This window comes from Homo sapiens, chromosome 9, assembly GCF_000001405.40.
Source record: "Homo sapiens chromosome 9, GRCh38.p14 Primary Assembly".
NCBI classification, from domain to species: Eukaryota; Metazoa; Chordata; class Mammalia; order Primates; family Hominidae; genus Homo; species Homo sapiens.
Window position 1 is genome coordinate 120702315 of NC_000009.12, and position 24789 is coordinate 120727103.

At 44.1% G+C, this 24789-nt stretch overlaps 1 protein-coding gene and 1 pseudogene across 1 annotated transcript in view, besides 2 other annotated features; one reads left to right on the top strand and one right to left on the bottom strand.

Moving 5' to 3' along the window:
• The window catches only part of MEGF9 (multiple EGF like domains 9), a 113660-nt gene extending 101504 nt beyond the window's left edge, over positions 1–12156 (bottom strand). Inside the window, exon 1 of the mRNA NM_001080497.3 lies at positions 11444–12156. Coding sequence (NP_001073966.2) covers positions 11444–12044 — 601 coding nt within the window. The 5' untranslated portion in view covers positions 12045–12156. The remainder of the gene's footprint in view (positions 1–11443) is intronic.
• Positions 11844–12693: a silencer, noted in NCBI's record as "silent region_20223". NCBI's record gives its function as "represses an Ori minimal core promoter by ATAC-STARR-seq in GM12878 lymphoblastoid cells {active_cell/tissue: GM12878}" and the evidence as "EXISTENCE:reporter gene assay evidence [ECO:0000049][PMID:35858748]".
• AHCYP2 (adenosylhomocysteinase pseudogene 2) lies at positions 18275–19666 on the top strand (annotated as a pseudogene).
• Positions 24246–24335: an enhancer, noted in NCBI's record as "active region_28893". NCBI's record gives its function as "activates an Ori minimal core promoter by ATAC-STARR-seq in GM12878 lymphoblastoid cells {active_cell/tissue: GM12878}" and the evidence as "EXISTENCE:reporter gene assay evidence [ECO:0000049][PMID:35858748]".

A 24789-nucleotide genomic window follows, 5' to 3' on the forward strand; every position in this document is an offset into this window, starting at 1 on the left:
TAAGTGGCCCTGGGTAATATCATCTGACTTGATCTTATATAAGTAAAGACTTACCAAGCTTATCAGAACTTTTTATTCATTTTTAAATGTTATTCATTTATTTTTAAGACTATAAAATTAGAATTGGATATAGTCACGAAAAAACTTTAAAAATTCAGAAAAACACAAAGAAGGTAATTAAAATTACCCATAATCCCATTACTTAGGTTTAACTAATTAATATTTTGGTATATTTCTCTCCTCATATGTATATTGCTGCTTAATATAATGTAAACATTTTAATGTAAGTTCATAAATTACCAAATTTCTTTATCATAAAATGTTAGAGTAGGAGAATTCCTCTTTCAAAAATCTTTACTGAAAGGACAAATCCAAAATATAAGCCAAATGAAAGAAGAGCTGATGTAAGTGGGGGTGGTGATGTGGAGGTGAGAGGTGAGAGTTGGGTGTGAAAGGTCCAGAAGTAGACCTGTTGGCCTCTCCAGTCCCTATAATGGCTCCCAAACACATCTGAGGAACCCTGGGTCCCCAAATAATACTGTTTAAAAATCACAAATCTAGTCTAACTCATTTAACAGATAAAACTACTTGCTTTTACTAGACAGATAACTAGTAAAAGAACTAATGAAAGAACTTAGGATCCCACATCTTACAGACAAGTGCTCAGCTTCTGCAACTTAGCTACCCTTTCTACAAAAGTCATCAAATGTTCATTTGTCCATTGTTGTTCTTCCTTTAAGAAAAATACAAGGGAAAATGTTACAAACAAAAAATGAATCATTAATATAATAAGCTGGATCTCAAGGAGTTCCACTTGTCCTAAGCAGGTTCTCAAACTATTCCTCATATTACTATGAGTGAGAGAAACATTGATTTCTAAACTAAAAAGAAAGGCATGATTACATTATTTTCCTCAAGAATACAATGCATGTCTAGTATACCTACAAACTGTTCCTTCTTTTTCACTAATTCAATCACTAAATATTTATTAAGAATCTATCTGGGCTGGACAGCAGAGGTATAACTGTGAACAAAACAAATGGAAGTCCTGCCCTCATGGAGTCTGTAAGCCTGACAGGCTTGAGCAAACTACTTTAACTTTCTGAATCCCAGTGTTTGCCAGTCATAAAGTAAGGTTAATAAGATTTAACTACTGCATTGTTTAAGAATTAAATGACACGATGTACGTAAAAAAATCCTTATAGGTAATCAGGCATATAATATGTGCTCAGTTAATATTAGTTACCTTCCCTGCCAAAGTGTTAAATATCAGATTAAAAATGAAAGGTAACAGTGTAAGTCTCTTTGCTATTAAAACAATGATTTGAAGTAGTACAACTGAAATAGCAGGTTAAGATAATTCCAAAGAGATTCTGGGCCAGGTGCAGTGGCTCATGCCTGTAATCCCAGCACTTTGGGAGGCTGAGACGGGTGGATCACCTAAGGTCAGGAGGTTGAGACCAGCCTAACCAATATGGTGAAACCCTGTCTCTACTGAAAATACAAAAATTAGCTGGGTGTGGTGGTGGGTGCCTGTAATCCCAGCTACTTGGGAGGCTGAGGCAGGAGAATCACTTCAACCTAAGAGGCAGAGGTTGCAGTGAGCCAAGATGGCACCACTGCACTCCAGCCTGGGAGACAGAGTGAGACTCTATCTCAAAAAAAAAAAAGATAATGCCAAAGAGATTCTTACACTAGGAAAGAAGTAAATATTTCAATACGAAGAAATGAAATTGAGGTTGGGCGCGGTGGCTCACACCTGTAATCCCAGCACTTTGGGAGGCCAAGGCGGGCGGATCACTTGAGGTCAGAAGTTCAAGACCAACCTGGCCAACATGGCAAAACCCCACCTCTTCTAAAAATATAAAAATTAGCTGGGCATGGTGGCAGGCACCTGTAATCCCAGCTACTCGGGAGGCTGAGGCAGGAGAACTGCTAGAACCTATGAGGCAGAGGTTGCAGTGAGCTGAGAATCCGCCACTGCATCCCAGCCTGGGCGACAGAGCGAGACTGTGTCTCAAAAAAAAAAAAAAGAGATGAAATTCACATGAGCCCTCACAGTCAAGTTCTGTGATTCACCTTGTTATCTCCATGACCATTTACTTTCAGTTACTTCTGGGCTCTTTCCACAACATTCAGCCCTGTATAGTGTCTAGGAAAGAAAATATAAAGCAAACAGTCCTCTTCTCCAAATACCATTTATTCATCATATAAATATGGGCAGCTAAACAAGACAAGATTTACACTTAACAAAATAAACTTAAAAGACAATGGTTTAAAATACAAAATATCAAATCTGAAACCCAACAAAACCTATAAAGGTTTGATCAATATTCACCAATAAAAGTACAGAGGACATAAGCCTTTTTCATTCATATAATATGCAGAAATCAACAAAATGTGAATTGCAAGGTCTTAGACATTCTAAGAGCACCTTGTAAGCCATAATGCACTGCACACTTGTTAATTGCTAATATTAAAAGCACTCTGTTCACTATTAACTTTAATTATATTTCTAATGGGGAAATTCTGTCATTCAAAAGATCAAACATTTGTTTCTTAACGAAATTAATTATATACTGGTATGCATCTCAAAACCACCTACCAACAAAAACAGGTCATGTTATTCATAAATAGGAAAATAAATTTGCTACTTATTCAAAGTTCTTGATTTTTTTTTAGAGCCAGATAACTTCTATTATGAAAGTTTTTTCTTTATTGTTCCTCAGAAGAAGGTGGCAGGGGGTAGGTGGGGCATAAGTTGGACAATAAAGAAGACCCCAGTGGAAAAAGAAAATCTTTTCTCCATTTTTTTTCAAAAAGAGAGAATACCGCATTCTGAATATTGTATAAAGGATGACATTTTCATATTAAGAAGGCTTCATAATCTAAATTACATAGACCAAAAACAAATCAATAGGAAAAAAGTGAAAGTCACAGAGAAAGACAGATTTTGTTCTCAGTGCAAACTGTTCAACGCCATGCATGCTGACACTAACACATCTTTAAGGACTTTTTGTTCATCTAGAAAGACGTCTTGGAAGAATTAAGCTTTGAGGAAGCACTGAAGGAGGACAAAGTGGTAAATTGTTAAACAGAGAGGGTAATTTGGTTCCTTAAAGATCATGGAAAGAATGGTTGGGGCTAAAAATAAAAGATATGAGTGAGAGGAACGCATAGAAGGCTTTAAATTGAAAAAAAATGAGCAAGGAGAATGGAAGAAAGGTTTTTTTTTTTTTCAATGAAGACAAAATAATAGGGAAAGATTTTTCTGACCATAATTATCTGTAGAACAGTGGCATTATTAGAGAGATTATTTTGATACAAATTTATCACATGTACTCACATGGATACATCTAAAAGGATAAATATTTTTAGTAAACCTTTACTATGATTCAAACCTAGGTATCCAGACATAATCTTTATCTTCTTCATCACATTTTTAGAAATCCTCCTTTAAAGTTACCAGGGCAGTCAGGGTAGTCATTTCTAGTGAAAAACAGATAAATCAAAATGTATACTTGAAAAAAAGCCTAAGTGATCACAGAAGAGGTCCCTGTAATATAATGTCAACATTACTAATAAGGATTTTTATATCACACCTAAAAAAAACCACACAAAAATCAAGATAAAGGAAAAAGCAAGGATTAAAGCTATTTATAACTTAAAATATCATCTAACACTGTCTTTCAGCTAAACAAGGTCTTACATTTTTATTTTCTTCTGCTCTATTAAGTACCCTAGAGCAGAATTCTCTCCACCCATAATTTACTCATCAGTAAAAACAGCACTGCAATACTTTTCTTCTATTCTTTTTATAAGGGTGCCAGAATGTCTGGAAGTTAATACACATGTTTAGAAATGCTAAGATGAGAAATTATGCACACTTAAATTTTAGGGGTCTTTTTTAAAAATCAAGATAAAAAGACCTAGATTATTTCAATGTGTAAATTTTCAACTAGCCAGGAGGCTTCCTGGGGACATAATACAGAAGATTTGAAACTAATGTTCTGGAGTTTATGCTGCTCCAGAAACTAATCAGACTAAGGAATTTCTACAAAAACCTAGGCACTTAGGTCAGGCATAAGGTATGATAAATTTGGGGGGCCTGGCCCCCCAAAAAATATGAACAAATCTCTCCATCACAGAAAAACTTAGAACCTAATTAATGAAACAATAAGAGCTATAATTTAATATAACAATTGTAAAACGTTGTCAAACAGAAAATTCAGGGAGGTGGCTGGGCACGGTGTCTCACACCTGTAATCCCAGTACTTTGGAAGGCCAAGGTGGGTGGATTACTTGAGTTCAGGAGTTCGAGACTAGCCTGGGCAACATGGCAAAATCCCAACTCTACTAAAAATACAAAAACTAGCTAGGCGTGGTGGTGCACACCTGTAGTCCCAGCTACTCTGGAGATTGAGGTGAGAGAATCATTTGAGCCCAGGAGGTTGAGGCTGCAGTGAGCCATGATTGTGCCACCGCACTCCAGCCCGGGACACAGAGTGAGACCCTGTCTCAAAAGAAAAAAACAGAAAGAAGAAAAGAAAATTCTGGGAGATGAATGAATAGCACACAGTGGAATGAAGACAGTAAACGCCAAGGAAGAGTAGAAGTTTTCCCAGATTAATATCCAAGGACCAATTATTTTTAGCAAAATGGTTTCCTACTCTTCTAGGTAGCTGTATTTCTTTAAATGCCAATAATATGGATTCTGGAGCCAGACCCACTAGGTTTGAATGTAGGTTCTGCCAGAGCTGGGCTTCTATGGAACTCAATTTCCTTATCTATAAAATGAGGATAATAATAGTAACTAACTTAGTAGTTCCTGTTTTGGAGATTAAATGACTTAATATATATAAGGCACATAGAACAGTGCCAGGAACATAGTAAGTGTGCTTGTAATTACTATTATAGTAGTCCACAATCCCTCAAATCTGATGCTCAATACCAGAAGCTATGAAACTACAAATTTTCCTGTAACTCACTTGGTGGCAAATATCTGACCTACTCCGAATACATTTGGCAACAAAACCTGACCTGAGCAAATGCAAATAAAACCTGACCTGAGCAAAGGCTACTGAAAGTCTTTATTTATCACACTCACTGTAAAGATACGTGCAGTTTGCTGCAGATATCTTAATGTGTTTGATTACAGGATGCTGCTCCCAATTCACTGGAATGTATTTATGAAAAAATGAAAAAATCTAAATTCTGAAACACATCCAACCCAGAGGTTTTAGATAAAAGACTGTGGGGTCTATATTAACTTTGAAGCCTAGACAGTTTGTATTTCCTTAAAATAAATGGCATCTTCTTAAAGAAACACGAGTAAGTAAGATCCTGAATCTAGTATTAGAGAATATTAGGATGATGAAAACATTTTCCAGTACAGTTAAGAGAGTCCTATATTCCTAGGATGTTCTTTTCAAATATAATCCATCTTGGCTGGGCGTGGTGGCTCACACCTGTAATCCCAGCACTTTGGGAAGCTGAGGCAGGCAGATCATTTGAGGTCAGGAGTTCAAGACCAGCCTGACCAACATGGTGAAACCCCATCTCTACTAAAAATACAAGAAAGTTAGCTGGGTATGGTTGCGCATGCCTGTAGTCCCAGCTACTAGGGAGGCTGAAGCAGGAGAACTGCTTGAACTTGGGAGGCGGAGGTTGCAGTGAGCCCAGACGGTGCCACTGCACTCCAGCCTGGGCAACTAAGTGAGACTCTGTCTCAAACAAACAAACAAACAAACAAACAAAAACAGGCTGGGCATGGTAGCTCATGCCTGTAATCCTAGCACTTTGGGAGGCCGAGGTGGGCGGATTGCCTGAGGTTGGGAGTTTGAGACTAGCCTGGGCAACATGGTGAAACCCTGTTTCTTCTAAAATACAAAGAAAAATAAATTAGCTGGGCGTGGCGGCATGCGCCTGTAGTCCCAGTTACTCGGGAGGCTGAGGCAGGAGAATCACTTGAACCGGGGAGGTGGAGGTTGTAGTGATCCGAGATGGCACCACTGCACTCCAGCCTGGCAACAGAGCAAAACTCCGTCTCCAAAAACAAAACAAAACAAAACAAACAAACAAAAATAAATAATCCATCTGTAATATTTTGTTTACATGTCATGGTAGTCAGAGTTTTCAAGTTCTAAATTCTAGGGCTTGCTTAAACAAAGTCTATTCTCATCACTCAGATAACAAATAAATAATTAAGGTTCTTTGGGGGACATAAATATGCCTTGAATCATGCAGACCAAATCATCACAGAACTTTAGAGCTGAAAGAGACCCTTTAAAACTAATCTAAATTATTATCCTTTATCTTCCAAATTGTTTTATCATCTGTAAATTTATTCTGCCCTATGAGGTAAGAATAATCTGCCCTAACTTGTCCGTAGACTCTGTCTATAGGAACACACCGCAGGTAAATGCAAATAAACTGGGTGGAGTACACTGACAAACCTGGGATCTAAAAGGATAACTGAATTTAACACAATCAATCTTATAAATTTAGTTAATGTCTCAGATTACACTTTAGAAAATTATAAGAATTTCCAAGTCCAGAATGAAAGAAGACTCACCTAGCACATATTTAAAAATAAATAAATTTTAATAGAGCTTAGCAATCTTAATGGGCTCAATGAGTCAACAACATAATGCGGCTGCCAAAAAGCTACTGTGATTAGGAACTAACCACATCAACATCAGTACCCCATCCAGAAGGAATGAGGCAACTGCCCTCTCTGCTACAAGCTGGTTAGAGCACATCTGGAGTATTATGTTCAGCTCTGTTTCACATTTTGGTAGACACAGAAAGACTGAAAAAGACTAGAAGAGGGCCAGGCACAGTGGCTCATGCCTGTAATCCCAGCACTTTCGGAGGCTGAAGCGGGTAGATCAGGAGTTCGAGACCAGCCTGGCCAACATGGTGAAACCCTGTCTGTACTAAAAATACAAAAAGTAGCAGGGTGTGGTGGCATGCACCATAATTCCAGCTAGGCAGGAGGCTGAGGCAGAATTGCCTGAAACCACGAGGCGGAGGTTGCAGTGGGCTGAGATGGTGCCACTGCATTCCAGCCTGGGCAACAGAGTGGAACTCCATCTCAAAAAAAAAAACAAAAAACAAAAAAAAACTAGAAGAGAAGTAACCAAGACAGTAAGAAAATTTGAAACCATGTCACATAAAGATCAGTTGAAGGAGCTGAAATTATTTGGCCAAGACAGAGAGGGATCATGATCCCTGTCCCCTAACCTGTAAGAGCTGTCATGGCACAGAGACAGCCAACTTTTTCTGCATGGCCCCAACGGGCAGAGCCAGATCAATCAGTTAACTAAAGTAAGAAATTTCAGCTAAGCCTATGGAAATATTTCTTCAAATGTAGAGCCACATTAGGAGGTAGTGGCATTTAAAGTCCTATCTACCCCTAAGGGTCCATAATTTTTAAAATCAAACATTTGGGCCAGCGTGCGGCAGCTCACACCTATAATCCCAGCACTTTGGGAGGCCGCGGTGGGCAGATTACCTGAGGTCAGAAGTTCGAGACCAGCCTGGCCAACATGGTGAAACCCCATCTCTACTAAAAATACAAAAATTAGCCAGGCATGGTGGTGCGCACCTGTAATCCCAGCTACTTGGGAAGCTGAGGCAAGAGAATCGCTTGAACCCGGAGGTGGAGGTTGCAGTGAGCCAATCTAGCCTGGGCAAAAAGAGCGAAACTCCGTCTCAAAAAAAAAAAAAAAAAAAATCAAACATTTGTCATTACCTTAGTGTCTTACTGATTATTATTACCTCTGGTATCACAGCATCTCTCTTCACCCTGCTTAAAATGTCCTACCCAGGGCCAGGCACGGTGGCTTACACCTGTAATTACAGTACTTTGGGAGGCCAAGGTGGACAGATCACCTGAGGTCGGGAATCCGAGACCAGCCTGACCAACATGGAGAAACACTGTCTTTACTAAAAACACAAAATTAGCTGGGCATGGTGGCACATGCCTGTAATCCCAGCTACTTGGAAGACTGAGGAGAATCGCTTGAACCCGGGAGGTGGAGGTTGTGGTGAGCCGAGATAGCACCATTGCACTCCAGCCTGGGCAACAAGAGCGAAACTCCGTCTTAAAAAAAAAAAAAAAAAAAAAAGTCCTACCCAGCCAACCAATCAGTGAATGTTTTGCTGGGTTTGTGGGAGAAAAAGTGCCTGCTTGCTGGGCAATTAGTTTCAGTTTGCAGATCAGTGTCCTTGTAAACAAAAAAGGGCCCTAACTGAGGGGCAGGCAAGAGCTCTCAGCTAGATCTCCATGAAAGAAATTATTATTAATTCAAAAAGCATCTATAAGACCTATTCAATCAAATAATATATTATCAGTGGCATTAGTTCTTACAGGAACGTTGAAATTAAAAAATACTGTACAACCATCTTCTCAAATGCCAGGGAATCCAACTTTGCAAGCCAAACCAGTTGTCTCAAATTCAATTATAAGTTTTCCTTCTGCCAAAGAGATATGTTTTCTGTTTAAAGTAGACTGGAGCCCATGCTCCATACTTGATCAGATCACTGTAAAGTCAATTTAGCTGCTGAGAACTAGATATTGGCAATCTAGAGTGAATTCACAGAGAAGTACAAACTACCTAATATTTAAAACACAGGAAAGTTATCGAAATTGGACATCCTTCCAAGATTTTTTCACCCAAAGACCATCACAGACGTAAGTATAATGTTAGTTCATGAAAATTATTAAAAGCCTTGAACAACAGTTCAGATGACAAATATTACTCAATCCAGCTTTACTGCAGTGTATACTGAATTGGATTCTAAGCAACTCCAGTGAAAGTATTAGAGAATATAGTAAATAGATGATGGATTTAACAAAAATACTCTGTGCTGCTTCCTCTCTGCTTTTTAAAGTGAAGCCTAGAAGCAATCTAAGTGTCCATAAATAAGGGCTTGGTTAAATAAATTATGATACATTCTTACCCTGGAAAATGCAACTATTAAAAAGAATAAAGTAGACCCTAGATACCGATATTTTTTTTAAAAGTCCATGATACATAGTTAAGTGAATACCACAAGTTGCAAAACATGTATAGAATTATTCCATTTTGATTTTTTAAAATCTATTTTTAAATACCCTGTGTGTATGTTCATATATGCCCAGCAAAAACAGCTGAAAAAAGATCTGACAAATTGCTAACAGTAGTAACCTCTAGGGACTGACTGAAACTAGGAGGCAGTGAAGGAGTGACTTTCCCTTTTTCCTTTGTGGACTTCTGGTTGTTTATATTTTTTTGCCAGTAGGGGTTACCTTTGGGGTTGAAAAATAACAACACAAAAATAGTAAAAGTAAAATAACATGAATTACACAGATTTATTTATCAGATACTAACCAAAGTAAGTGATCTTTCTACTTAAATGCTACTGTATGCTTAAAACTCCAGAGAATCTAATTCATTCTTTTTCTATTATATTTTACTAAAACAAATAAAAATCACCCCAAGTCCCTACTAGTTTTCTCAAATGCTTTCTATACATACATACATACACACACACACACACACACACACACACCCACAGGCCTGGTCATAAGCATAGCTAACACACACGGTGCTTATTCTACACTAGGAACTGTTGTAAGCACAGTAAGTGTTAACTTATTTAATCTTCCCAGCAGGCCTGGTGAAGTGAATCATGCCTGAAATCCTAGAACTTTGGGAGGCCGAGGCAGGAGGACTGCTTGAGTTCAGGAACTCAAGACTAGCCTGGGCAATATAGTGAGCCCTCATCTCTACAAAAAATACAAAAAATTAGCTGGGTGTGGTGACCCACGCCTGTAGTCTCAGCTGCTCAGGAAGCTGAGGTGGGAGGATCGCTTGAGCCTGGGAGGCAGAGGTTGCAGTGAGCCAAGATTGTGCCACTGCACTTCAGCCTGGGCAACAGAGCCAGACCCTGTCTCAAAAAACAAAAACAAAAACAAAAAAAGTCTTCACAGCAACCTTATGAGTTAAGTACTACTATAATATTATCTTCATTTCACAATCAAAGAAACTGAGTCCAAAGAGCTTCAGTGAGCCGCCTAAGCTTACACAGCTAACAAGGGGAAGAGCTAGGATTCAAACCTAAGAATAAACTCCAGAGTCCATACTCTCAACCACTATGCTTCCTGTCTCTCAGTAATATGTCAATCTCTCTATATGAAAGCCAAAAGGGGTTACAGGTAAAACCCAGCTAGCTAATGCATTCCTTGAAGCTGGAAGAGATGCACACTTGGCTTTTTATGGGTGAATAATCCTACTTATGTCATTGCCAAGCTCCAACCCAAGGATCAAGACTGTATTAAGGTTCATAACCATGTGGGAAAATTCTCTACACACTCAATTATAGTCCAAAGTCCATACCTGACTCCACAGTAAATCACTAAGCCTAAGATTTAGGTCAGAGACCCAGCTAGACAAAGGATTTGGACAAACCTCCACCCCAACTCAAAGCAAGACAATTCAGAAACTTTTGTCCAAACGTTCTGACAAAGTAGGCTTTTGTTTTGTTTTGTTTTAGTCCTAGGCCCACTTAAGATTTAAACGGGGAAAGAATACGAGTTGTCTTTAACTTTGCTTGAAGACTTCAGCAAGAAAAGCCTTTTCTACGTGGGCTCAAACAGAAATTGGCATATATCAGCATCAGCAAAGTTGAACATCCTGGCTTAAGGAGACAAAAATAGGCATCCTTGCTTAAATGGTGTATTTGGCCAAACATGTTGACCTTATAATTGTGGAAGAAAAAAATGGTGCGAGGAAGAGATTTAACCTAATTTGTAAATGTGCTCAGCCTAGATACACACCTGTCCCAAATGACCTACTGAATCCACTTATTTGCAGGGACAACATGGATTACAATGCCTTTTTTGTTTTTATTTTTTGCCCTCAAGTGGTCCATACTACTGTTTGTAAACAAAATCCTCTCACTACCTCTCTTCCACCTGTCATACACACACATCTGATATTTACATAAACAAGAAGAAATGAACAGGGAAACTGGAGCTTTGGGAGGAATTCCTTACCCTCAGCTTTTGACCCAGTGGTTGAAGGAGGTACTATGCGGGCTTTCAAACTTCCCCAAATAACCCAGGCAGAGAGGCTGGGTGCGCGAACCCAACCCAAAAGTTTGCGCCCATTCTGGTCTCTGAAAAAGGCCAGAAAGCCCTGTTGGGAAGAAGATGAGATGCCTTCCACCCAGCAGCCACCCCCTCCCGAGGGAGCACAGCCCACGGGGGACAAAAGACTTTCCAGATTGATCGGGGGCGGGAGGGAGACTAGCTGGACCTGGGATCCCCCCTCGGGAGCCGGAACCTGGGGTGTCTTTGGGGTAACAAACGATAAATTATAGGCAAGAGCCCAACCCTAGATTGCCGGGGCTGAGGTGAGGACGGGTCCTGCCCGAGAGGGAGCGCCGGACTCACCTGGAGGAGGCGAAGAGGGGGCCTCGGTGGCAGGTGGGGTGGGGAGGACGCTGCTGTTGCTGCTGCTGGGGAGATCGGGGGTCGGGGTCCGGGGAGTCGTGGGCGCCGGTACGGTGGTCGCTACAGGGGTGGTCGGCGCCGGGCCAGTGGTCGTCGAAAGGGTGGTCGGCGCGGGTCTGGTCGGCGCCTGAGAGGTGGTCGAAGTGCGTTCCGCCGCCGGAGGGGTGGTCGGCGAGGGGCCGAGCGGCGCCTGAAAGGTGGTGGAAGAGGGTCCAGCAGTCGCCCAAAGAGGGGTGGTCTCCGGGGACTGGGCTGGAGAAGTCGCAGCCAGGGGTCGGTGGACGGTGGCGCGCGGGGGCCCGGTCCTCGGGGCCTGGGCCGTGGGAGCCGTCGCCCTAGGGAAGGGGTGGCTGGGCTCGCCCCGCAACCCGGGGCCCGGCGACGCGTCCACCTGCCCCGCGGCCCCGCCGCCACCGGTGACATTCCCCGCCGAGGCGGCTGAGGCGACGGCGGCGGCGGCGGCGGCGGCGGCGCAGCACAACAGGGCGAGGCCGCCCAGGCTCGGCAGGCTCCTCATGGCGCGCTCGGCTCCGCCATTCATTCATTCAGCCAGTCGGTTGGTCAGTCATCTTCTCCTCGTTGCAATCCGACCAAGGAAGCCTCCGCAACCGCCGCCGCCACCGCCACCGGGCGCACCATCGCCACCTCCCTCTGACAGGCGGCCGGCCCCGCGGGCGGGCCCCAGCGCGGAGGGAGCGACCGGACCGAGCGCGGACCGCCCGCCCTCCTCGATTGGCAGCCGCGCCTAACCAATGGGAAGCCACAGTCGCCCACGTGATCCGCCCGCTTCCCGGCCTCTTTGTAGCCCCGTAGGCCAATCAGAGGACGTCCAGGAGAGGGGGCGGTCCGTGAGGCGGGAGAAGGGTGGTGCGAGCCCAGCTCTAGCCCGCCGGGCTCGCGGCGGCCCCGGCTTTGTCTGCCCAAAGAGTGGGGCGCGGGCCTCGGGCACCGGGCGCCGCGGAGCAGACAAAGGATGCGCCCCGCGCGGCAGACGCCGGGCCTAGTCATCTGCTCCACCGGGCTGCGAGCACGAGCGGGGGGTGGAATCAGCACTCGGGAGCATCCCCGCCCTCCTGAACAATGGGGCGCCAGCGCCGCACCCCAGCTCGGGCGGGGACCGCGCGGGAACCCCGCGATGGGAGAGGGCAGCGGCAGCGACGATGTAGAGCTTGGCATGCCCTCTGCTGCTCCAGAGAGCCTGGTCGCAGCCTTGCGAGGTCTCTGCCGCCATTCCCATTTCAGAGATGGGGAAGCTGAGGCCCTTGCTGAGGGCCTCCCTGAACCGAGACCCACGCCCTCACCAGAAACCTGCTGTGGGCCAGGTGTTGTGCCAGACTGGACAAGGGGGCGGGACCGGGCGGTGGAGACCCCTGAGGGCAGAAGGTGCAAGCTTCCTGCGTGGAGGAGACAGGCTCGCAAGCACACTTACCTAAACCCCGGGAAGAATAGGATCAGACAGGGTTGAACCTCAACTTGATGTCTTTTGCTGAATGGTTTTGTGGCCTGAGCGCGGTTTTTTCACCACTAAAATGGAGATGATAGGACACCCCTCACCCCCCACCCCCCTCACAGAGCTGTTGTGAGAATTAAGTCATGGACGTAAAGGGCTTAGCCCAGAGCCTGGCCCACTGTTGTAACCCTCATTAATGCTAACTATTCTCAGCATTTGCGCCAGGGCAAGCCCAGGATTAGAAAGCAGCCCCAGGCCACAGCCCTTCAGTGCCCCCAGAGCCTCCGGCTGGTTGCAGGGGTTGGGGTGGGGCTAATAGCCGAGCTTGACCCTGGATGACACTAAACCCTGAATCAAGCTGGAATTCGGGCACGCAGCCTCGCATCATCCGCCCAGGATCCAGAGCTAGGTCAGGCGCTGCTGCTTCGGCTCAGCAGCTTCCAGAGGAAGCCAGGCAGGGCGGGTTTGTCATCTGATGGGGCTTAATTCAAGCCCCACTGCTAACCCAATCCCGGCCTCCCCTACGTGATGTTTGGCTTTGTGCATGGTTTCCCATTAGTCATTGGTCTTCAACCAGACCAGCAGGATGAGATTTATGTGTGAACCCGTGTATGTTAATTAAAGCATGCATTTATTTTCCTGCATGAGTAGTGGGTGGGGGAGGCTGTGTATGAATGCATAAACATGTTTGTGAGTCTGTGTGTATGAGTGTTGTATGTATCTGTGTGAGTTTATGAGTATGGGAGCTAGTATCTATTTTCATATATTGTGTCTTAATAATCTGTGCATGTGTACTGGTGTGTGTTTTTGTGTATTTTCTGTGTTTTTGCATTTGTGGTTATCTATGGGTGTGTCTTGATAGGTCTATGTATATAAGACAGCGGGAATGAGGGAGAATGTGAGTGTTCTGTCTTCAGGACCAATATTTAGCAAGCACTAACCAAGGTTCTATTTTTACTTTGCTTTGGGAGGGTGGACAGGTCATGCCAGTCCCCCATATTCCCTTGCTGACCCTCCCTGGCCCTTCAAACCCCAACCAAAATGTCACATTCTCTAAAAGACATTCCTGGATTTGAGTGGGAATTAATCTCTCCCTTCTCATTTCCCCACCACCCCTTGTTTATGCATTGATTACAGCCCTGATCTACCAATCTACCTCTCCGTTGCCTCTTCCTAAAAGGATTAAGGATGGCTTTCAGAAATATATACAACAGGATAAATTGTATTGCCCACATGGCTTTATTACTTCTCATAGGCATGCATCAGCCTTAATACTAGAACTTGTTATTTATGTGTCTGTCTCTTACGTCAGATGTTCTCCCTGTTCTGAGAACCTAGCAGGGGCAACACATGTAAGTGCCAACCCATGCTGGTTAAATTGAATTAATTGAGGTCTTGTCGTGCTTGTGGGAGGAGCTTGTGTCTTTAGAGTCAGACAGACTTGGGTCATGACTGCCAACTCTGTGACCTTGGAGGAAACCTTTCACCTCTCTGAGCCTCAGTTTTCCCCCCCACTTTTTTTTTTTTGAGACAGTGTTTCACCCTTGTCGCCCAGGCTGGAGTGCAGTGGGGTGATCTTGGCTCACTGCAACCTCCGCCTCCCAGGTTCAATCGATTCTCCTGCCTCAGCCTCCCGAGTAGCCGGGATTACAGGCACTTGCCACCAGGCCCAGTTAATTCTTGTATTTTTAGTACAGACGGGGTTTCACCATGTTGGCCAGGCTGGTCTCGAACTCCTGAGCTCAAGTTATCCTCCGGCCTAGACCTCCCAAAGTGCTGGGATTACAGACATGAGCCGCCGCGCCAGGCCACTTTTCTCATCTATTAAATGGGGCCAATAAATAGTCTCTCATTTGTTGACTAGGATTGAGGAGAATGTTTTTACAGAGCCTAGCACACAGACGGTGCTCAAGCTGTGTAGGTTCATATTTTTGTTATACCATTGCTAACTTTGAGACTTGTTGGCTGAAGGACCAGAGCAGAAACCCCTGCCCCATAAGTTCCCCATCAGGTGACATGGCCTGACACTTGCCCTACCTGATATTTCCAAATGATATCTGAAAAATGCTGGGTTGGCCCTGAGCTTTGCTGTATCAGAGGTTCTCTGGCAAGGGGAAAAAAGCTGATGCAGCTTCTTGGCCAGGAGAGCCACAGAGCAAATGACTAGGAGACCTTGTCGAGTGATTCAGGTCAGCTCTCTGCCTTAGGCAAGGATCATCCATGCCGGGGCTTTTAAGATGGGATATTAGCCTGTCATATGTATAGAAAATATTGAATTTTTTTGAAAGATACCAGTAATTTAAATGTGTTAATGTCCATTCAACATTTAATTTTTAAATTTCCTTAATCTTAAATCTTCCTTAATCTCTAAACTACAAGATGACTTTCTTAGGAATTATGTTTGTGTTTAAAAATTGGAAATACCTTACATATCTGTCATCAAAGAAAGGTATTATTATACCTGTTAAATTTAATCCTAGAAAGTCATTGTAAGTGTAGCTATGAAGACAGTATAGCAAATATTAATAGTAAATAATTGAGCTCATAGTCTATGCTAGACACTATACCAAGAGCTACATATGAATTGTTTTGTTTAATCCTAAAAACCCCAGGAAATAGGTACTATTATGTCTTAGTCCATTTGGGCTGCTGCAACAAAGTACTGTAGATTGTGGCTTGTAGACAACAAAAAATATATCTCTCCCAGCTCTGGTGCCTGGGAAGTCCAAGATCAAGGCACCAGCAGATTCAGTGAGCTCCCTGGGTGTCCTTTAAAAGGACACTAATTCCATTCATGATGGCGCTGCCCTTATAACCTAATCATCTCCCAAACGCTTCCAAATACTTTTACATGGGGAGTTAGGATTTCAACGTGTGAATTTTAGGGGGACACAAACATTCAGTCTATAGTCTATTATTATCTGCATTTTACAGCTAAGGAAACTAGGTCACAGGTTAAGCAACTTGCCCATGGTCACTTAGTAAATAATAGAGCTAGAAATCAAACTGAGGCTGGCTGGCTCCCACTGACACCCTTAACTATAAATGGAAAATCCTCATAATGGTAAGAAGAAAAGAAAAAATAAAAATTATAGCTGTGACACTCTGTGTAACAGAACATTGACTGGCACTTTTCCTATTTGCCCCAGAACTGTAGCTAAGGCCCATGAGACCTGGAGCCAAAGGCTTAGGGAAGGACCACAGAACAGCAGGGGTCAGAGTGGGCCTTGTTGGAGCCAATGTGCAGCCTGACTTTTCTCCTAGGCAAATGAGGTGCTCTAAAGGGCCCCAACTGATTTCTCACTTTATTAGTCAGCACCGAGCACAGTGTCAAATACACAGAAATGGCTCAAGAATTGTCTGTGAGCCAGGCACGGTGGCTTATGCCTGTAATCATAGCACTTTGGGAGGCCGAGGTGGGTGGATCACAAGGTCAGGAATTCAAGACTAGCCTGGCCAACATGGTGAAATCCCGTTTCTACTAAAAATACAAAAAAGTTAGCCAGGCGTGGTGGCGGACGCCTGTAATCCCAGCTACTTGGGAGGCTGAGGCAGGAGAATTGCTTGAACCTGGGAAGCAGAGGTTGCAGTGAGCCGAGATCGTGCCACTGCACTCCAGCCTGGGCGACAGAGCAAGACTCCATCTTGAAAAAATTTTTTTAAAAAATTGTCTGTGAAGTCTTATGATGTGGCAGATGCTGTTCCGGGAGTTTTATATTCGGAACACGTTTATTCCTCAAAGACAGGGCTGTCATCTGCACTTCAAAGAAGAAGAAACTGAGCCTCCAAGAGCTTAAGGGACTTGCCCAAGGCCCTTGTGACTCAAAAGCCCAGGCTCTTCTCTATACACTACAGTCGTTAATGTGGCCGCTATGTGTTGCACATACTAGGAGGTCAGTGAACACATACTGAAGGAAAGGACACACATGCACCAAATTTAACCCTTCTGCTAGAAAAGCATTTAAGAAAAGAGAAGCTTTGGGAGTGAGAAAAGAAGGTATAATGATATGATACATAGGGCTCAGCAAAATAACTTCATCTCCCAGATTCCAATAAAACACAGACACCTTTCCCCTTTCTGGTTTCATTGAAACAGCAATGCTGACATGGACTATTTCTAATCCTGCTGGAGGCTGGCCTCCTATCAGATGTGGCTAAATGCAAGGTTTGGCATCTTCTGCAGACAACTGTAGGATTACTGGGGCCACTGTTCACAAAGTCGGCCCAGCAAAGGACACTAACAGACAAGCCACAGAAAGGAATACAAATGACTAAAAAATATGAAATACTGCATATGCAACTTGAGTAATTAAAGCATTGCAAGTTGAGATAAGGAGTTGCCATTTTTTTAACCTATTGATTTGGCAAAAATTTTTACAAACTGGTAATACTTGTTATGGTCTCTCACTGTTGATAGAAATATAAAGTGATACAACCTTTCCAGAAAGCCTTAAAAGTGTTTATACTCTTTGACCCATTATTTCCACTTTTTTTTTTTTTTTTTGAGACGGAGTCTCACTCTTTTTGCCCAGGCTGGAGGGCAATGGCATGATCTTGGCTCACCGCACTCTCTACCTCCCGGGTTCAAGCGATTCTCCTGCCTCAGCCTCTCAATTAGCTGAGATTACAGGCATGTGCCACCATGCCCAGCAAATTTGGTATTTTTAGTAGAGATGGGGTTTCTCCATGTTGGTCAGGCTGGTCTCGAATTCCCGACCTCAGGTGATCTGCCTGCCTCGGGCTCCCAAAGTGCTGGGATTACAGGCGTGAGCCACTGCACCCGGCTCATTATTTCTACTTTTAATAATCTAGCCAAAGGCCAGGCACAGGAGATCATGCCTGTGATCCCAACACTTTGGGAGGCTTAGGTGGGCAGATCACTTGAGCCCAGGAGTTCAAGACCAGCCTGGGCAACATGGTGAAACCCCGTCTCTACTAAAAAAAAAAAAAAAATTACTAAAAATTAGCATGGTGGTATGCAGCTGTAGTCCCAGCTACCTGGGAGGCTGAGGTGGGAGATCACCTGAGCTTGGGAAGTCGAGGCTGCAGTGAGCCATGATCATGCCACTGTACTCCAGCCTGGGCAACAGAGTAAGACCCTGTCCCAAAAAGAGAAAAAAAAAAGAATCTATCCAAAGGAAATAAATAATCAGATGTAAATATGTATGTACAAAAATGTTCACCAGAGTGTTATATAATTACAAAAATTAGAAAAATCTAAACAGTTAACAAAGGATTAGTTGAGTACTTTGTGCTGTATGATGTTTCTATGTAGAAACACTATACATCTATAAAAAATGATACTCACCTGCCTAGCACTGCCTGCCCAACACTGCCCACCCAGTGCCTGTCCCCAGACTATGGCCCAGCCCCCTTTGCCCTTGTCCATCAAAGGTGCCGCCAGCATGTCTGACAAACTGCCCTACAAAGTTGCTGACATCGGCCTGGCCACCTGGGGACACAAGGCCCTAGACATTGTGGAGAATGGATGCCGGGTTTGATGGGCATGCAGGAGCTTTACTCGGCCTCCAGGCCACTGAAGGGTGCCTGCATTGCTGACTGCCTGCAAATAACTGTGGAGACGGCCATCCTCATTGAGACCCTTTTCTCCCTGGGTGTTCAGGAGCAGTGGTCTAGCTGCAGCATCTTCTCCACCCAGGAACATGCAGTGGCTGTCTTTGCCGAGGCTGGCATGCCAGTGTTCACCTGGAAGGGCAAAATGAAAGAGGGGTACCCGTGGTGCATTGAACAGACACTGTACTTCAAGGACGGGCCCCTCAACATGATTCTGGATGATGGGGGTGACCTTACCAACCTCATCCACACCAAGTACGTACCCACAGCTCATGTCGGGCATCTGAGGCATCTCTGAGGAGACCAAAACCGGGGTCCACAACCTACACAAGATGATGGCCAGTGCAATCCTGAAGGTGCCTACCATCAACGTCAATGACTCCGTCACCAAGAGCAAAATTTGACAACCTCTATGGCTGCCAGGAGTCCCTTATAGATGGCACCAAGTGGACCAAGACGTGATGATTGCCAGCAAGGTAGCAGTGGTAGCAGGCTATGGTGGTGTGGGCAAGGGCTGTGCCCAGGCCTTGCAGGGTTTTGGGGCCTGCATAATCATCACCGAGACTGACCCCATCAGTGCACTGCAGGCTGCCATGGAAGGCTATGAGGTGACCACCATGGACGAGGCCTGTCAGGAGGGCAACATCTTTGTCACCACCACAACCTGTGTCAATATCATCCTTGGCCGGCACTTTGAGCAGATGAAGGATGATGCCATCTTATGTAATACTGAACAATTTGACGTGGAGATCGATGTCAGGTGCCTCAACAACAATGCTGTGGAGAAGGCAAACATCAAGCCCAGGCGGACTGGTACTGGCTGAAGAATGGGTGCCACATCATCGTGCTGGCTGAGGGTTGGCTGGTCAACCTGGGCTGTGCTATGGGCCGCCCCAGCTTTGTGGGGAGTAACTCCTTCAACCAGGTGATGGTGCAGATTGCGCTGTGGACCCACCCAGACAAGTACCCCATTGGGGTTCACTTCCTGCCCAAGAAGCTGGATGAGGCAGTGGCTGAGGCGCCCCCCTGGGCAAGATGAACGTGAAATTGACCAAGCTAACTGAGAAGCAAGCCCAGTAGCTGAGCACGTCCCGTGATGGCCCCTTCAAGCCGGATCACTACTGCTGCTGAGAGTCAGGCCTGCCCTTCACTTTCCAGCTGCTGTCCTTGCTCAGGCCCCGCCTCTTCTCCCTAAGAGCAAATGGCACCAACTTTGTGATTGGTTGGTTAGTGTCCCCCATCGATGGGGCTGGTCACTCAGTTTTTGGCCTCTGCTGCATCCCTAACACTATATCAAGTGTGGCGGGGAAATTGAGAGGCCCCTCCTCAAGCCCTGGTCATGATGGAGGTACAAGGGAGGCATCCACAAGGAACCATGAGTTGAGTGGTCTTGGAACTGCTCACTAAGTCAGTCCTTCCTTTTTTTTTTTTTTTTTTTTGGTATTTTTGGTAGAGACGGGGTTTCACCATGTGGGCCAGGATGGTCTCGATCTCTTGCCCTCATGCCTCGGCCTCCCAAAGTGCTGGGATTACAGGCATGAGCCACTGGCGCCCAGTCAGTCCTTCCTTAGTTTGGAAGTTGGTAGTGGAGTCACAAAGCCCATGTACCTTACCATTCAGGTAAGGTTCCTGGTCTGTGGACTTATACCGTGTTCCTGGTCTGTGGACTTATACCCGTGGTTTACAGGTTCAGTGGTTCCCCAGCCCATGACAGATGAGAAGGAGCTATATTGAAAGGCAAAGAGGAACTGTTGTTTGAATTTTCCTGAGAGCCTGGCTTAGGGCTGGGCCTTCTCTTAAACCTCATAACAATGAGGTTGGTACTTTTAGTCCCTGTTTTACAGGGGTCAGAATAGACTGTAAAGGGATAACTGAGAAAGGACAGAGAAGTGACAGCCAGAGGGGCTATAAAAACATAAAAGCAAGCATAGATCTGCTACTACTTTGTAACAAGATGGTTCCTATCACAACCCTGGTTCAAAAAGAGAATAATATGGTTTTAATGTTAAAAGAAAGCAGGAAGGTGGGTAAATAAAAATCTTGGTGCCTGAAAAAAAAAAAAAAAAAAAAAGATGATACTCAAGCACAGTGGCTCATGCCTATAATCCTGACACTTTGGGAGGCCCAGGCGGGTGGATTGCTTGAGCTCAGGAGTTCGAGACCAGCCTGGCAAAATGGTGAAACCCCATCTCTACCAAAAATACAGAAAAATTTGCCTGGCATCGTCGTTGCACCTGTAGTTTGAGCTACTCTAGAGGCTGAGGTGGAAGAATCACTTAAACCCGGGAGGTGGAGGTTGCAGTGAGTGGAGATGGTGCCACTGCACTCCAGCCTGGGTGACAGAGTGAGACCCTGTCTCAAAAAAAAAAAAAAAAAAAAAAAAAAAAGATACTTATGAAGGAAATTCTTATAAAATTGTGGAAAAAATCATTAATATAACTATTTATGCCATGATTCCCAAATTGTGTAAATGATAATATGTGCAGAGAATAAAATACCAAAAGGAAATACACCAAAATGTTAACATTCTTTTTTTCTGAGTGACTGCATTATGGATATTTAACTTTTTTCTCCTTCATAGTTTTCTACATTTTCCAGTTTTTTTAATAGTGAGCACTTATTACTCTCAAAATCAATAACAATCAACAACAGAATTCATTTGAATCTGAAGATATGTCTCTGCCAACCACATCCCTGACCTGCCTTCATGGTATCTCAAGATGATGAGAGGAAGGAAGGCTCAAGTTGTAAACCTACATTAAATGCAAGGCACCATCCCCAAACAATGAAGCTAAATGTTGAAATCCTGCTTCAAAGGCCCTCTGATGCTAAAATAAGCCCAGAAAAGCATTTGCTGCAGTTCTTGGAGATCTACTGAAGGACGTCATTCACAGTGGGCACCAAGTCAAACCCTCACTCGTCATCAGTGTTGGCTGCAATACAAAGAATTTGAACCATTTGGGGGAGGAATAGGGTTAGACCTTCACAAATAACTCTATCCCTTAGGTTGCTATCATTGTAATAAAGGGGATTACTGACAGGTGCACAGCACAGAGCTTTCCCAGGCATCATCTCATGTGAACTTGGCAACAACTCTGGAGGAAAGACGTTGATAGTAACAACAACAATAACAACAATGATGGAGACTTAACATTTACTGAATACTTATTATGTGTCAGGAATCAATTCTAAACACTTCACATACATTGTGCCTCTTAATTAAAAAGCAAACACAAAACAAAACAAAAACAGGGACTTGCTCTGTCACCCAAGCTTAATTGCAGTGACATAATCATAGCTCACTGCAGCCTCAAACTCCTAGGCTTAAGTGATCCTCCTGCCTCAAACTCCCGAGTAGCTGGGACTACAGGTGCACATTACCTTTTAAAATTTTTTTGTAGAGTTGGGGTCTTGCTATGTTGCCCAGGCTGGTCTTCAACTCCTGGTCTCAAGCAATCTTCCCCTCAGCCTCCCAAAGTGTTGGGATTTCAGGCTTGAACCACTGTGCATTCCCCTTTTAATCTTTTTAGCCTTATCTGTGAAGTAGAAAGAGTGATTACCCCCACTTTGCAAGCCAGTATGTTGTCACTCAAAGTAGTCAAATGACTTGTCCGAGATCGCCACGCTAACAAACGAAAGCATAGAACTTGTAGTCATTTGTTTAGACCTCAGGTCCAGATTTCCACAACTGCCTACTATAGTTCCTCAACTTTGAGTATTTTTTATTGCTGTCGTTATTAGAGGAGACAGTAGTTTAGCAGTAAAGAATGCCGGGTTCAAATCTGGTCTTTCTAGCTGTATAATCTTGGACAAGTCACTTTAGCTCTGTGTCTCAATTTCCTCCTCTGTAAAATGGGGATCATAAAATTTATCTCATAGGCCTCAAAGTCAAATGAATATAAAGCATTGAGCCAAAGTCTGCCCCATAATGAACACTCAAAAGACCTTGGTACATGTCTGATTTTCCTATACCTTGCCTTCTCACATAGTCAGTCAAGGTCAGGAGGGTACAATGTCCTTGTGTTCAATGCCCAGAACTTCTAGATTTTCAGAAGAGTCATACTCTCTGATTTCCATGGCCTCAGCCCTTTTGAAGAGCCTCCTTTGCTGGAGTGTGTGCCTGTCAGAGGGTAGCTTCTAGGACTGAGAGAGTACTTGGCAGGAATGAGTACTTGACTCCTTCTGAGAAATCCTTAGGCCTTTAGGACTATGATGCCCTTTGTTGAACTATTTGAGGTAGGCATGTTGATTTCTTGCTGGCTTCTGGGGGCTCGATAATAAGGAAATCCACTTCTAGAAGAGCAACTGTTTCCCTGAAAAGACCACAAAAATGGCAACTATCACAGCTGGAAGGGGACTTGGCATCAGTCCCTTCAAACATGTCCTTGTACAGATAATTAACCAAGAACCACAGAAGTAAAGCATCTTGATAAGATCCCACACTGTCAAGAGCCAGGGTCATATTCAAACCCTCTGACTCCCAGGCCACCATCAGACCCAAATCAGTCAGTACAAAGGAGGCAGCTAAGGGCCAGTGAGAGGCCTAGAGGCTACTGGCTGGACACCGATGGACCTTCCCACCTTCTGACTCTGGTTCAAGGCTCTCTTTATGTCCCCAGGCTCCCTCTCCAGGAATTTCCCTCCTAGAATCACAGAAATGGCACCCTGCTGCCAGCTTCTTATCAATGGCCATGGCAAGATTTTAAATAATGACAATACTGAGGCGGGCGGATCATCTGAGGTCAGGAGTTCAAGACCAGCCTGGCCAACATGGTGAAACCCCATCTCTACAAAAATTAGCCAGGCATGATGGCAGGTGCCTGTAATCCCAGCTACTCAGGAGGCTGAGGCAGAAGAATCATTTGAACCCAGGAGGCGGAGGTTGCAGTGAGCCGAGATCATGCCATTGCACTCCAGCCTGGATGACAGAGCGAGACTCCGTCTCTAATAATAATAATAATAATAATAATAATAATAATAATAATAAAATGATAATAATCAGGATCTGCTCTCAGGCAGCAGTTGGGACCTTAGGAATTACAAAATCTTCCAAATTAGGTCACATTTGTGTAAAGGAATTAGAAACATCTTTCCCATTTCATCAGGCCCAGATTAGAACAGCCTCTGCAGAGGGTCCTAGTAGATCAGTCCTCCTGTCAGGCCCATGGGTGTGATTTCCTTTCTCAAACAGCCACTGAACTTTTCTTATGATTATGGAGTGTTTATTGGGTGTGTGCAATGTGTCAGGTGCAGTCTGGAATTTGGAACTGTCACATACTGGCAGCATGACCTCTTTAAGAGGCAGGAACTTGTTATCTCTGTCATCCGGTCCCATGTTGGGGAACTATCTATGAATCAGCCAAGATGGGTTCCCAGCCCTCCATCCATCTCCCTTCAAGGCAAAATGGTCTAATGGGAAAAGTCCATGATCTAGCATACCTGGCTGCTCTACTTCCAGCCTATGTTACTTAGAGCAAGAATCACCTATTTTAACCTTCAGTTTTGTCAGCTGTAAAATAAGCATACAATACCTGGTCTACCTATTGTGTTGCTAGGAGGAATCATTCATTCATTCATTCAGCAGAAATGTGTTAAACACTGATATAGAGATACCCTAGTGTACAAGACAACAAAAAAGGTGCATACAATATAGTAAGATAATCAATTAACAAATAAATGGGTAAATAATCAAGATATTTACAGATTAAGCAAGTGCTACGAGGGAGATAAAAATGGTGCTGTGACACAGAATAATATCCCCTTAGAGTGATGAAGGAAAGCCTTGCTGAGATGTGACATTCAACCTGAAAGCAAAAGGAGTCAACTCTACCAACACTGGAAGGAACAGCAAGTGCAAGACTTTGAAGTTGGAAAGAAACAGAAAGGAAACCAGAATGGGTGAAGCATATTAAGTGAAGGAGAGAGTGGTACAAGCTAGAGGGCAGGACTCTGTAGCCAGGGAAGAAGACTGGGCTTCATTCTAGGAGCAAAGAGAAGTCAGGGAGCGTTTTAAGCAGGGAGATGAGGGCAGATTATAGAGCAGCAGGGACAGAAGCACAGATAGCAGCCAGAAGGCTGAGTTGTCCAGGCGTGAGAAGATGGTGGCCTGGACTGGCTTAGAGGCAGATTCAGAATCTGTTTTAGAAGTGGAATTGTCAAGACTTGCTGTTGGATTGGTGTGGGGTGAAGGAAAGACAGAAATAAAAAGTTACTCCTAGATTTTGGAATCCACAGGATCACTCACTCACTCATGCATTCAACA